Raw genomic sequence first — 14,431 nt, 5'->3', positions numbered from 1 at the left:
AACATACAGTTGACCCTTGAATAACATGGGTTTGAACTGCGTAGGTCTGCTTAATATATCAGTTTACAAGCTTATAATATCAGCTTCTAAACTGATATTTTTTCAACCAAACACATATTGGAAATACAATATTTGCAGGAATGGAAATCTGCATATATGAAGGGCTTTTGTATATATGAAGGTTCTGCAGGGCCAACTGCAGGACTTGAGTATGCGAGGATTCTGGTATATCTCATTTAGTTTCTCTGAACACGATAAAACATCTCCAGTGGCAGAAAGACTATTGCCTACATGTTGCCATCTTCTTCCTGAATACCTTCAGAAGAGGAGTGAAAGGAGAGAGAAGAGGATGAAGACAATGATAAAGAAAAAGGAAAAGAAAAATTTGCCTTAAAGAAATATCAGTGAAGCTACCTGCTAGCTTCTTTTTTTTTTATTTTATTATTATTATACTTTAAGTTTTAGGGTACATGTGCACGACGTATGTCAACCCAATGTATCGCTTTAAAAACACCAAAAATAAGCACAATTTTCTCCATGTACAAAAATTATGGTCCCAGAACCTGTGCATTTTTTTAAAATGTGTTAACCTTACTAAGGACAAGCTAGAATTACAGTGGCCACAGTGAAGTTTTAACCCAGATAAAATTGGTTACTTGTGAGGCACATTAGAGAAGAAAGGATCCAACATACCACAAAAGCAATGGGACACACTCTTTAATGGATACACAGAAGTATTAAATATCTAAGATATGAAATGAATCAAAGATTTCCTCTTTAAAAGATTCCTTAGAGAAGGCCAATGGAAAAAATCTTAAGTCTTTTCTACAAATATCAGTCAAAAGCTTTAGCCATCTGGGTGGGTAATCTTGTTCCATGGGCCAGAAAAAAATTCACTTCCAGATTAGTGAGCTTTGTGTTATTGTACTTGGCACCTGGCTAAAATTTTTAAATGAATACTACAAGATCTGTTTTTATGTTTATATTTATATATGTCAGTATGTATGTTATGAATGTGTAACATATTTCTTTTTCTTTATGGTATTGCCAAAATTAAGTTGTAAAAGAGAACTATTTAATTGGTTTAAAGAAAAATAAGTGCTTATATAAAATAGGTATTCCTTAAACCCTTAGAAACAAACCTAAAATATTTTTCAAGTTGACATAATCTTGGATAATCTTCGGTAAATAGTAGCTAATAAAAGTATATTGGCTTGATTAATGCAGGCATACCTTCAGAGTTGTCGGCATTTAGTATAATACAGATGCACAACTCTTCTCCCCTAGGTTTATTTAGTAAAATAAGTTCATGTTATCTCTATGTGACATAGCTTGTCAGCAAGAAAAATAACTTAAGGTGATGGCTAGCTATTTAATGTCTCATCTTTATGAGCATTTCAAGCATAATTGTTAAAAGCAAGAGTCAAATAGAGGTAAGATAGAATTCCCATGTGAAAAATGTCCTTTCTATACCAGAAACTTTTAACATTCTTACGAAGGATGGGAAAAAAAAAAAAAAAGCCCTAACAGGATAGAAATAAAAATTTGTTTCCTCTACAGTTTCTTACTACAGAGAGACTAAAGACAGTTGGGACTGTTAATAAATGTTCTGTGCCACATTGAAAAAAATGTATTATAAAAAAGTACATGCTCCTAGAATTATAATTCACAGGTTTTCCAATCTATAGACTGCTGGCATGATATTCACACTTGCTTGCTTCCTAGTGTTCACTAGAAATTAAGGTCATAAAGGGCTAAGAATTCTAATTAAAATATGTAACTAAAATTACTAGAAATAATAAGGAAAACAACTTTATATGCAAGTATACAATATAGGTAAGATGTGCTTTTGGTAAGGAAAAGCATAAGTTATGAGGATGTGAATTGTTCTGTTAAAACAAAAAGAGAATAATTTTTGTTCTAGAGCAGAATGATTGATCCAAAATGAGAAAGAACTATTTGGGGAAAAAAACTGACTGGATATTAGAAAGTAATATGGTTTAGCTGTGTCCCCACCCAAAATCTCATCTTGAATTGTAATCCCCATAATCTCCACATGTCAAGGGCGGGACCAGGTGGAGATAATCAAATCATGGGGGTGGTTTCCCCCATGCTGTTCTCATGACAGTGAGTGAGTCTCAGAAGATCTGATGGTTTTATAAGCATCTAGCATTTCCCCTGCTTGCACTCACTCCATCCTGCTGCCCTGTGAAGAAGTGCCTGCTTCTCCTTTGCCTTCCAACATGATTATAAGCTTCCTGGGGCTTCCCCAGCCATGTGGAACTGTGAGTCAATTAAACCTCTTTCCTTTATAAATTACCCAGTCTTGGCTATTTCTTCATTGAGAATGGACTAATACAAAAAGTCTGTAGAAGGGAAACCTTGGGAAAGAAATTTTATACGTGATTAAGCTAGCTAAGATTAGACGTGCTATTTATAAATTTTTCTAAAAATTAAGCATTAATATCAAAAACACTATGAAGGGAAATTAGAATTTCATCCTTTATGTTAAAACAACTTTTTCTTGAGGTACTGGTCTACTTTTAACAGGAAATTGTGAAAAGGTTTTTTGTTTGTTTGTTTTGTTTTTACCTTTTAGGTAATTGGCTAAGGAAATATTCTGCATTTTGTCAAGATAATTAAGAAAGTTAAAGAAATGCCATGATGGCTGACTTGCCAAGATGACTGACTAGAAGCAGTTAGTGCATGCTGCTCTCATGGAGAAGAGGCAGAGCTGCAAGTAAACACTAGATCTTCAAGTGGATCATACAGGAGGCCATGTTTTGATTCATCAAAGAAGCAACAGCGACCCACAGAAAGCAAAGAAGAGCAAGGTAGGACAGCTGCCCACCCAGGATTGGTGCAGAGCCAGAGGAGGCTCCCAGCTGCAAGGAAAGGATGAGAGGATGAGTGAGAGTCCCCAAGGACCACATGTCTGCATGACCTTTGTAATCTTGGGCACAGGAGAGGCCCCCGGCTCCCCTGGGCTTCCAGATCGACACAGAGAGCTTGTGGAGTCTGTGCAGAGCTACCACTGAAGCCCACATTGAGCTCCATGAGCCTTGGATCTCTGAGCATGTTGGTGCCAGCTGCCATAGCCCTACAAACAAAGGAGCTCAGGCTCTCTCGTGCACCTCTAGGATAGGTACCACACGCACGGTGCTGAGGAGAGGATGAACTGCAGACTGTACCTCATCAGGCAAGGTCCAATCACAGCCACCCCACCCCAATCTGAACATTCCAGCTGGTCATCGCTCTTCTTTCCTCTGGGATGGAGCTCCCAGAGGCAACTGACAAGCCTGCTGCAATTGCCACTGCTACAGCCCCTGCCCCTGCTGTCCTCAGGCTGGGGAGAGAGTAAAGAATCTAAGAACTGTCATTGGCCTCCAGAATGCCACAGCTGCCATACAGTAAGGCAGCCAGACTGTTTTCCATGCAGCTCTCTGAACTTGCTGCTCCTGATTGGGCACGGCCTTCCAGCTTAGGCCCCCAGAGCAGCTGTGCCACTCCCACCTGATCAGTTAGTGGTGGTTCTGCATTTCTCTGGGGTGGAGCTTCCAGAGACAACTGACAGGCCCTCTGTCACTGCCACCACCATAGTACCCACCCATCACCCCCAACACCCAGGCTAGAAAGGGAACAAACAGCCTGATTGTTGTTGCAGGCCTATAGCACACCACAGCCATCCTATGGAGAAGAGGCCAAACTATCTTCTTTTGTCTTCCCTAGGCAGAGCCCCCACCCCACCTACTCCCAAGCTTGGGCCCACAGCACAGCTGCCCCATCCCTAGCTGATCACTCAAATTAGCCATAGCTATGCATTTCTTTGGGGTGGCACCCCCTGAGGTAACTGGCAGGCTGTATGCCATTGCTGCCACTGCAGCCCCACCTCTGCTGCCCCCAAGGTGGGGAAGGAACAAAAACCCTGATCTCTCCCCAGGGCTGCAGTGCATAGCCTAGGAGTACTAAGGCACTTGAGTGGGAATGGAGCCCACATTCTCAGAGCACTAAGAGGGTTGAGTCACGTGGGTTCATGGGCCGCAGCAGGAATAGGCATGCCTTTCTCCACAGAGCCAGACTGAAAAGGTATGGTCTATCTCCCTACTTCAGCCTCTGACTGAGGGAACCCTGCAGCCCAAACATCTAACAAAAGAAATGCAGGTACAGTGCCAGTGATTGGAAGGAGTTCCCCCAAGGCCCAGGAGTAAATGCAGTGAAGGGGTCACCTCTCTTGCCACTGCACCACAGAGCAAGCTTGCAAGTGGCAGGAAATACAAAGGAGCCATGCAGCAGAGTAAGAGCCTCTACCAGCAAATACGCTTAAGCTTCATCTACTGGATTGCAGCCCAAACTACAACAACAAAAATACTTTGCTAATATAACCCCCTATAAGACCAAGGGTAAGAATTCAGCCACAAATAAAGAAGCTGCATAGAGCATTGGCCCTCTGAAAACATCCAGAAATGAAGCCAACTAACTATACTCAATTTACACCACAATTAAAGGAACGCCAACCTTCTCAGATGAGAAAGAACCAACTCAAGAGTTCTGGCAATGCAAAAAGCCAGAGTGTACCCTTACCTCCAAACAAGTCCACTAGCTCCCCAGCAATGGTTTTTAACCAATCAAAAGTGACTGAAATGACAGACATAGAATGTGGACTCTGGATGACAAGGAATCTCATGGAGATTCAGGAGAGAGTTGAAACCCAACCCAAGGATTCCAAGGAATTAGTAAAATGATCTAAGAGCTGAAAGATGAAATAGCCATTTAAAAAAGAACCAAATTGAGCTTCTAGAGCTGAAAAATTGACTACAAGAATTTCATAATATAATCAAAAGTATTAACAGAAGGATCAAAGCTGAGAAAAGAATCTCAGAGCTCAAAGACCAGTTCTTCGAATCAACTCAGTTGGACAAAAATAAAGAAAAATAATTTTTAAAAATGAATAAAACTTCTGATAAATATAGGATTATATAAAGAGACCAAATCTATGACTCAATGGTATTCCTGAGAGAGAGAGAATAAACAACTCAGATAATATATTTGAGGATATAGTCCATGAAAATTTCCCTAATGTTGCTAGAGAGGATGACATGCAAAACGAATAAATACAGAGAACCTTGGTTAGACACCATATAAGTCAACCATCCCCAAGGCACATAGTCATCAGATTCACCAAGGTCAAGGTAAAAGAAAAAATCTTAAAGGAAGAGAGAAAAGTCAATTCATGCACAGAGGGAAACCCATCAGGCTAGCAGCAAACCTCTCAGCGGAAACCTTACAAGCCAGAAGAGATTGGGGTACTATTTTCAGCACTCTTAAATAAAAGAAATTTCAACCAAGAATTTCATATCTCATCAAACAAAGATTCATAAGTGAAGGAGAAATAAAACCCTTCTCAGAAAAGCAGATGCTGAGGGAATTCATTTTAACTAGACCAGCCTCACGAGTGGTCCTTAAGGGAGTGCTAAATGTGGAATTGAAAGAATGGCACCTGCTACCACAAAAACACACATAGGCACATAGCCCACAGGCACTGCAAAGCAATCTTAATTCTACATAACAACCGGCTAACAACATGATGACAGGATCAATATCTCACATATTAATAATAACCCTGAATGTAAATGAGCTAAACATCCCATATAAAAGCAAAAGAGTGGCAAGCTAACACCCATCTAACATGTAATGGTACACACGGGCTCAAAGTAAAGGGATGGAGAAAGATTCACTATCCAAACAAAAAAACAAAAAAGAGCAGGAGTCACTATTCCCATATAAAATAACCCAGATTTTAAACCAACAAAAATTAAGGAGAACACAGAAGGACATTACATAATGATAAAGGCTTAATTGAACAAGAAGGCTTAACTATACCAAACATATATGCACCTAGTACTATAGTATCCAGATTCATAAAACAAGTTCTTCTTGGCCTATGAAAAGACTTAGACAAACACATAGTAATACAGTGAGGCTTCAGTACCCCACTGACAGCATTAGACATACCATCAAGGCAGAAAACTAACAAAGAAACTATGGACTTAACACTTCACCCACTGGACATAATAAACATTTATAGAACACTCCATCCAACAACCACAGAATATATATGCTTCTCTTCTCCACATGAACATATTCTAAGATCGAACTCATGCTTGGTCATAAAGCAAGTCTCAATAAATTCAAAAACTTGAAATCATACCAAGCATACTCTCAGACCACAGTGCATAAAAATATAAATCAATATCAAGAAGACCTCTCAAAACTACACAGTTACATGGAAATTAAACAACTTGCTCCTGAATAACTTCTGGGTTAACAACAAAATTAAGGCAGAAATCAAACAATTCTTTGAAATTAATGAAAATAGAGACACAACATACCAAAATCTCCAGGGTGTAGCTCAACATGTTAAGAGGAAAGTTTATAGTACTAAATACCTTCATCAAGAAGTTAGAAAGAGCTCAAATTAACTATTTAACTTTGGACGTAAAGGAACTAGGAAAAAAGAACAAACCAACCCTAAAGCTAGCAGAAGAAAAACAATAACTGAAATTAGAGAAGAACTGAATGAAACTCAGATGCAAAAATCTATACAAAAGGTCAGTGACACCAAGAGTTGGTTCTTATAAAAAATAAACAAGATTGGTAGACCTCTAGCTAGATTAACAACAAAAAAGAGATCCAAATAAGCATAATCAGAAATGACAAAGATGATATTACAACCAATCCCATAGAAATACAAAAGATCCTCAGAGAATACTACGACCAACTTACACACACAAAATAGAAAATCTAGAGGAAACACATAAATTCCTGGAAACACACAATCTCCCAAGACTGAATCAGGAAGAGATTAAAACTCTGAATAGACCAATACTGAGCTCTGCAATAATAATAATAATAAAACCTACCAACCAAAAAAAGTCCTGCACCAGATGGATTCACAGCTGAATTCTACCAGTTGTACAAAAAGAACTAGTACCAATCCTACTAAAACTATTCCAAAAAATCAAGGAGGAGGGGCTCCTCCCTAATTCACTCTATGAAGCCAGCAACTGCCTAATACCAAAATCTGGCAAAGATGCAACGAAAAAGGAGAACTTCAGGCCAATATCCATGATGAACATTGATGCAAAAATCCTCAATAAAACATAGCAAACTGAATCCAGTAGCACAGCAAAAAGTTAATATGCCAAAATCAAGTAGGCTTAATTAATTTATTTATTTAGAGATAGAGTCTTGCAGTGTCACTTGTGCTGGAGTGCAATGGCATGATCTCAGCTCATTGCAACCTTGGCCTCCCAGGTTCACACGATTATCCTGCCTCAGCCTCCTGAGTAGCCACCAGCTAATTTTTTATATTTTTAGTAGAGACGGGATTTCACCATGTTGGCCAGACTAGCTGCAACTCCTGACCTCGTGATCTGCCCACCTCAGCCTCCCAAAGTGCTGGGATTACAGGCATGAGCCATCATGCCTGGCCCAAGTAGGCCTTATTTTTGGGATGCAAGGTTGGCTTAACATACACAAATCAATAAATGTGATTCACCCACCACATAAACAAAATTAAAAGCGAAAACCATATGATCATCTTAATAAATGCAGAAAAAGCTTTTAAGAAAATCCAACATCCATGATAAAAACCCTCAACAGACCAGGCATTAAAGGAACATACCTCAAAATAATAAGAGCCATCTATGAAGAATTCTCAGCCAACATCATACTGAATGGCAAAAACTGGAACCATTCTCTTTGAGAACTGGAACAAGATGAGGGTGCCCACTCTTACCACTCCCATTCAACATACTACTGGAAGTCCTAGCCAGAGCAACTGGGCAAGAGAAAGAAATAAAAGGCATCCAAAACGAAGTCAGCTATCTCTCTTTGCTGACAGTATGATTCTATTCCTAAAACACCCTAAAGACTCCACCAAAAGACTATTAGAAGTGATAAACAATTTTAGTAAGGTTTCAGGATACAAAATCAATGTACAAAAATCAATAGCATTTCTATAAGCCAATAATGTCCAGGCTGAGAGTCAAATCAAGAACACAATCCCATTTAAAATAGCCACAAAGAAAATGAAATGCCCAGGAATACAGCTAACCATAGAGGTGAAAGATCTCTACAAGGAGAAATATAAAACATTGCTGAAAGAAATCAGTGATGACACTAATAAATGGAAAAAACATTCCATACTTATGGATTGGAAGAATCAATACTGTTAAAATAGCCATACTGCCCTAAGCAATCTACAGATTCAACACTATTCCTATCAAACTACCAGCATCATTCTTCACAGAATTAGAAAAAACTACTCTAACATTCATATGGAACCAAAAAAGAGCCTGAATAGCCAAAGCAATCCTAAGGAAAAGAACAAAGCTGGAGGCATCACACTACCTGACTTCAAACTGTATTATAAGGCTATCGTAAACAAAAAGCATGATACTAGTACAAGAACAGACCCATAAACCAGTAGCTACAGAATAGAAAACTCAGAAATAAAGCCACACACAACCGTCTGATCTCTGACTAGGCCAACAAAAACAAGGAATGGAGAAAGGATCTCTTTTCAATAAATGGTCCTGAGATAACTGGCTGGCCATATGCAGAAGACTGAAACTGGACCCTTACCTTTTACCACATACAAAAATTAACTCAAGATTGATCAAAGATTTTAATGTAAATCATCAAACTATAAAAATTCTAGAAGAAACCTAAGAAATGCCCTTCTTGACATTGGTCTTGGCAAAGAATTTCTGGCTAAGTTCTCAAAAGCAGTTGCAACTAAAACAAAACAAGTGGGACCTAATTAAATGAAAGAGCATCTGCACAGCCAAAGAAACTATCAACAGAGTAAACAAATGATGTACAGAATGGAATAAAATATTGACTAATGATGCATCCAACAAACGTTTAATATCCAGAATCTATAAGGAAGTTAAATCAACAAGGAAGAAAAAAAAAAACATTTAAAAGTAGGCAAAGGTCAGGAGTTAGAGATCAGCCTGACCAACATGGTGAAACCCCATCTCTATGAAAAATACAAAAATTAGCTGGGTGTGGTGGTGCGCACCTGTAATCCCAGCTACTCAGGAGGCTGAGGCAGGAAAATCGCTTGAACCCAGGAGGCAGAGGTTTCAGTGAGCGGAGATTGCGCCACTACACTCCAGCCTGGGCAACAGAGTGAGACTCCATCTAAAAAAAAAAAAAAAAAGTGGGCAAAGGACATGAACAGGCACTCCTCAAAAGAAGATATACAAGTGGCCAAGAAACATATGAAAAAATGCTCATCATCACTAATCATCAGAGAAATGCAAATCAAAACCATAATGAGTTACCATCTCATACCAGTCAGAATGGCCATTTTTAAAAAGTCAAAAAACAGATGAGTAGGTTGTGAAAATTTTCTCCAATTTTGTAGGTTGCCTGTTCACTTTGATGGCAGTTTCTTTTGCTGTGCAGAAACTCTTTAGTTCAATTAGATAGCATTTGTCAATTTTGGCTTTTGCTGCCATTGCTTTTGGTGTTTTAGACATGAAGTCCTTGCCCATGCCTATGTCCTGAATTGTAATGCCTAGGTTTTCTTCTAGGGTTTTTATGGTTTTAGGTCTAACGTTTAAGTCTTAAATCCACCTTGAATTAATTTTTGTATAAGGTGTAAGGAAGGGATCCAGTTTCAGCTTTCTACATATGGCTAGCCAGTTTTCCCAGAACCATTTATTAAATAGGGAATCCTTTCCCCATTGCTTGTTTTTCTCAGGTTTGTCAAAGATCAGATAGTTGTAGATATGCGGCATTATTTCTGAGGGCTCTGTTCTGTTCCATTGATCTATATCTGTTTTGGTACCAGTACCATGCTGTTTTGGTTACTGTAGCCTTGTAGTATAGTTTGAAGTCAGGTAGCGTGATGCCTCCAGCTTTGTTCTTTTGGCTTAGGATTGACTTGGCGATGCGGGCTCTTTTTTGGTTCCATATGAACTTTAAAGTAGTTTTTTCCAATTCTGTGAAGAAAGTCATTGGTAGCTTGATGGGGATGGCATTGAATCTATAAATTACCTTGGGCAGTATGGCCATTTTCACGATATTGATTCTTCCTACCCATGAGCATGGAATGTTCTTCCATTTGTTTGTGTCCTCTTTTATTTCATTGAGCAGTGGTTTGCAGTTCTCCTTGGAGAGGTCCTTCACGATTTACAAGAAAAAAACAAACAACCCCATCAAAAAGTGGGCAAAGGATATGAACAGACACTTCTCAAAAGAAGACATTTATGCAGCCAAAAGACACATGAAAAAATGCTCATCATCACTGGCCATTAGAGAAATGCAAATCAAAACCACAATGAGATACCATCTCACACCAGTTAGAATGGCAATCATTAAAAAGTCAGGAAACAACAGGTGCTGGAGAGGATGTGGAGAAATAGGAACACTTTTACACTGTTGGTGGGACTGTAAACTAGTTCAACCATTGTGGAAGTCAGTGTGGTGATTCCTCAGGGATCTAGAACTAGAAATAGCATTTGACCCAGCCATCCCATTACTGGGTATATACCCAAAGGACTATAAATCATGCTGCTATAAAGACACATGCACACGTATGTTTATTGCAGCCCTATTCACAATAGCAAAGACTTGGAACCAACCCAAATGTCCAACAATGATAGACTGGATTAAGAAAATGTGGCACATATACACCATGGAATACTATGCAGCCATAAAAAATGATGAGTTCATGTCCTTTGTAGGGACATGGATGAAATTGGAAACCATCTTCTCAGTAAACTATCGCAAGGACAAAACACCAAACACCGCATGTTCTCACTCATAGGTGGGAATTGAACAATGAGAACACATGGACACAGGAAGGGGAACATCACATTCTGGGGACCGTTGTGGGGTGGGGGGAGGGGGGAGGGATAGCATTAGGAGATATACCTAATGCTAAATGACGAGTTAATGGGTACAGCATACCAGCATGGTACATGTATACATATGTAACTAACCTGCACATTGTGCACATGTACCCTAAAACTTAAAGTATAACAATAATAATAAAATAAAATTAAATTAAATTAAATTAAAATAAAAAGTCAAAAAACAACAGATAATGGCAAGGCTGTGGAGAAAAGTGAATGCTTACCCAGTGTTGATGGGAATGTAAATTAGTTCAGCCACTGTGGAAAGCAGTTTAGAGATTCCTCAAAGAACTCAAAACAGAGCTATTATTCAACTCAGCAATCTCATTACTGTGAATATACCCAAAGGAAAATAGATCATTCTACCAAAAAGACATATGCATGCATAATGTTCATCACCACACTATTCACAACAGCAAAGACATGGAATCAGCTTAGGTGCCCACCAATCATTGATTGGATAAAGAAAATATGATACATATACACCACGGAATACTCCACAGCCATAAAAACGGAATGAAATCATGTCCTCTACAGCAACATGGATGAAGCTGGAGGCCATAATCCTAAGCAAACCAATACAGGAACAGAAAACCAAATATCACATGTTATAAGTGGGAGCTAAACATTGAGCACACATGGATATAAACAGAGGAACAACAGACACTGCCAACTACTAGATAGGGGAGGGAGGAAGGGGGATGTGAGTTGAAAAACTACCTATTGGGTACTATGTTCACTACCTGGGTGCAATATACCCATGTAACAAACCTACAGATGTACCCTCTATAACAAAAATATGTCAATTTTTTTAAAAAGACAATTTCCTGTGCTTCGTGTGGTCTTTATAAGTCTTTTGATCACTCAAGAAAACAGTTCTCTCTATTTAAAAAGCTAAGGTTTTTCTATAATTATGTAACTTTCTTTGAAGTATTTTAATTATCACTCTGCTTAAATGACTACTGTTGCCAGTGACCTCTGATCCTATTTTAATTATTTTAAACCCTTTGACATTTTTTAACCACTTCTCAAAATCAAGCATTAAATTAAGGCCTTTCGACCTCAAACCAACTTTGGAAGTTTCCAAACTGACTTCTGGAATTTCTCAAAGGAATTTTTTCCTCTCTTCTTATAAAAAAGAGAGATGTTAAACTAATTAGGCTTATTTGATGTGTTAAATTGCATGGGAAGCATTGTCAAATAATAAGTGTTGCTGAACCATCTTTAAGTTATATTGCATGAGTATGTTATTAATATGTTTTCCAGAAATTATATGAAATTCCCAGAAACTTGATAGTCTTGACATATTACTATCACTCGTAATTTTAATTTTTAAAAAATACTGTATATACAGAAAAGGAAACAAAATTTTCTTGTCAATTGCATTATAATTAATTTTCATCAGACATTTAACCATTATCATTTAAAGTCTTGCCATCCACAGACAGTTAATTGTTTTACTTTGGTATTTTCCTGAAAGCTATTGAAAACAACTATAAACCTAAATTTTTCAACTTTGAGGGGATTCATGGAAAGAACTCTGACAACATAGGTTTCTGATAACCTTAGGTTCACACAATTAGATTAGATAAGAATTTCTAGAATGCTAATGAATAAATTGATTGGTTCATAAAACCACTAACCCCACATCAAGCAGAACACCAATTAATTGGTTGCTAAGGAAATGCTTTGGCAGGTTTTCATACTAAGTCAGCCAGTACTGAAATTGTTAAGATATACAATTTGAATGAGCTCCATAAGATTGATCCAAGTCAAATTACCTATGATGAACTATTTCATAAACAATGCTGTGTGCCTGAATTGGAGAAATCAACTGGTATTTAAAAGGATGTAAATTCAATGTTAAGTGTGGGCTAATGGAGGGCTTGGACAGTTGCTTGGTCCTTCCTGAGTCCTTAAAGCTTTAATTATTAGAAGCTCTGTACTCCTTAACTCATCACAGGAGAGAGAAAATAATCCCAATTATTTTAAAAAATACTGGCAGGCTGTCTGTTCTAAAATTCCTAAAATGGTTTATAACCACTGTCTGGTTTGTCAAACCCATAATTTTGACAAGACAATAAAACACTCAGATGATACATTTCCAGCACCTGCTGGATCATTTGAATACTTACAGATGGACATCACTCAATTCCTACCTTCAATGAATAGTTTCTGGATGTACAGAAGCTTTCCCGTCATGCAGGAAGGTTGCTGATATAACAGTAGCTAAAAGGTTATCATGAAATGTGTTTGCTTTATGGAATACTCCTGGAGAAATTTCCAGTGGTAGAGGCGCTCATTTCACTGGACAAGTTATAAAGCAGTTAAATAAGTTATTACAAACACAATGGTATTAGGCAAAGCTAACTGAATTGACTGTATTGCCTTGTTCAAAGGTATTACTGATTGATGGCAGTCAGATCCACCCCCCTTGGAAAACACAGATTGACCCCTTATAAAATAGTTACCGGAAGGTGTATGGCCCTAATAATAGCACCTCATGAATCTCACACTTTTATAAGTTCTGACATGACTTAATATTGAAAGATTTTAATGCATTATGCTAAAGTATATTTTTACCAGTTAAAAGAAACCCTTTGTGACCCACCAGCTGATGACAACTAGATCTTTCATGATCTAGAACCCACTGAATGGGTCTTTTGGAAGCAACACCAGAGAAAGACTGCCCTTGAGCCTCACTGAAAAAGATCATACCAAGTTCTTCCCACCACCCACACTACTGCAAAATTTCAGGGCCTCAAGCCTTGGATCCCTATATCTCAACTCAAGAGAGCCCCTCCAGACTCTTGGGACAGTAAATCCACTGGAGATCTCAAGGTAAAGCTGACTAGGGAAGCTTTTCTCCAGAAGCAAATGGCATCCTAGATGTGGACAGCTTTCCCAAGATCACAGGTCAAGACTGTTCTCCTCTGTCACTATGAAATCTTTGTTCCCTTTCCTCTTTGTTTTCTTTTCTGTTTATATATGGCAAGATAATGTGATAATTAAGATTTCATAATTGATAGCTTTTGCAGGGAACTAGACTGAATGTTGACTATGTCATGTTAAACCTGAATCCCTATATGATCTTAGAGATATTCTAGTTCACCATGTAACAAATTTCACTAATATTCCAAGGGTGACTATTTGTTCAAATTGCACATCTGGGCTAAGCGCAGTGGCTCACGCCTGTAATCCCAGCACTTTGGAAGGCAGAGGCGGGTGGTCAGGAGTTCGAGAACAACCTGGCCAACATGGTGAAACCCCATCTCTACTAAAAATACAAAAATTAGCCAAGCGTGGTGGCACACGCCTGTAATCCTAGCTACTCAGAGGCAGGAGAATTGCTTGAGCTGAGGAGGCGGAGATTGCACTGAGCTGAGATCATGCCACCACACTCCAGCCTGACAGACAGAGCGAGACTCTGTCTCAAAAAAAAAAATTGCACATCTGGTTCTTTCCACATGATTGGGTTTTTAGATTCATATATTCAGACT

General features: G+C 38.5%; 1 protein-coding gene across 56 annotated transcripts in view; it reads right to left on the bottom strand.

The window, feature by feature from the left end:
* The window catches only part of NEK11 (NIMA related kinase 11), a 323,589-nt gene that overhangs the window by 242,659 nt on the left and 66,499 nt on the right, over positions 1 to 14,431 (bottom strand). For 15 of the 56 annotated variants that reach the window (XR_001740271.2, NM_001353022.2, XM_017007209.2 and 12 more), the window contains one exon: positions 10,072 to 10,197. The exons of 37 other annotated variants lie outside the window; for them this stretch is intronic. Coding sequence is in view for 14 of the 19 variants with exons in the window: in NM_001353022.2 (NP_001339951.1) it covers positions 10,072 to 10,197 (126 nt within the window). In the remaining 5 variants the exon portion in view is untranslated. Of the gene's footprint in view, positions 1 to 10,071; positions 10,198 to 13,090; positions 13,239 to 14,431 lie in introns of all 56 variants that reach the window. 4 more of the 56 variants (NM_001353041.2, NM_001353042.2, XM_011513174.2 and 1 more) reach the window with 1 other exon arrangement.

This window comes from Homo sapiens, chromosome 3 (genome assembly GCF_000001405.40).
Source record: "Homo sapiens chromosome 3, GRCh38.p14 Primary Assembly".
Classification (NCBI taxonomy): Eukaryota; Metazoa; Chordata; class Mammalia; order Primates; family Hominidae; genus Homo; species Homo sapiens.
This window is presented reverse-complemented; position numbering and strand designations above follow the sequence as displayed.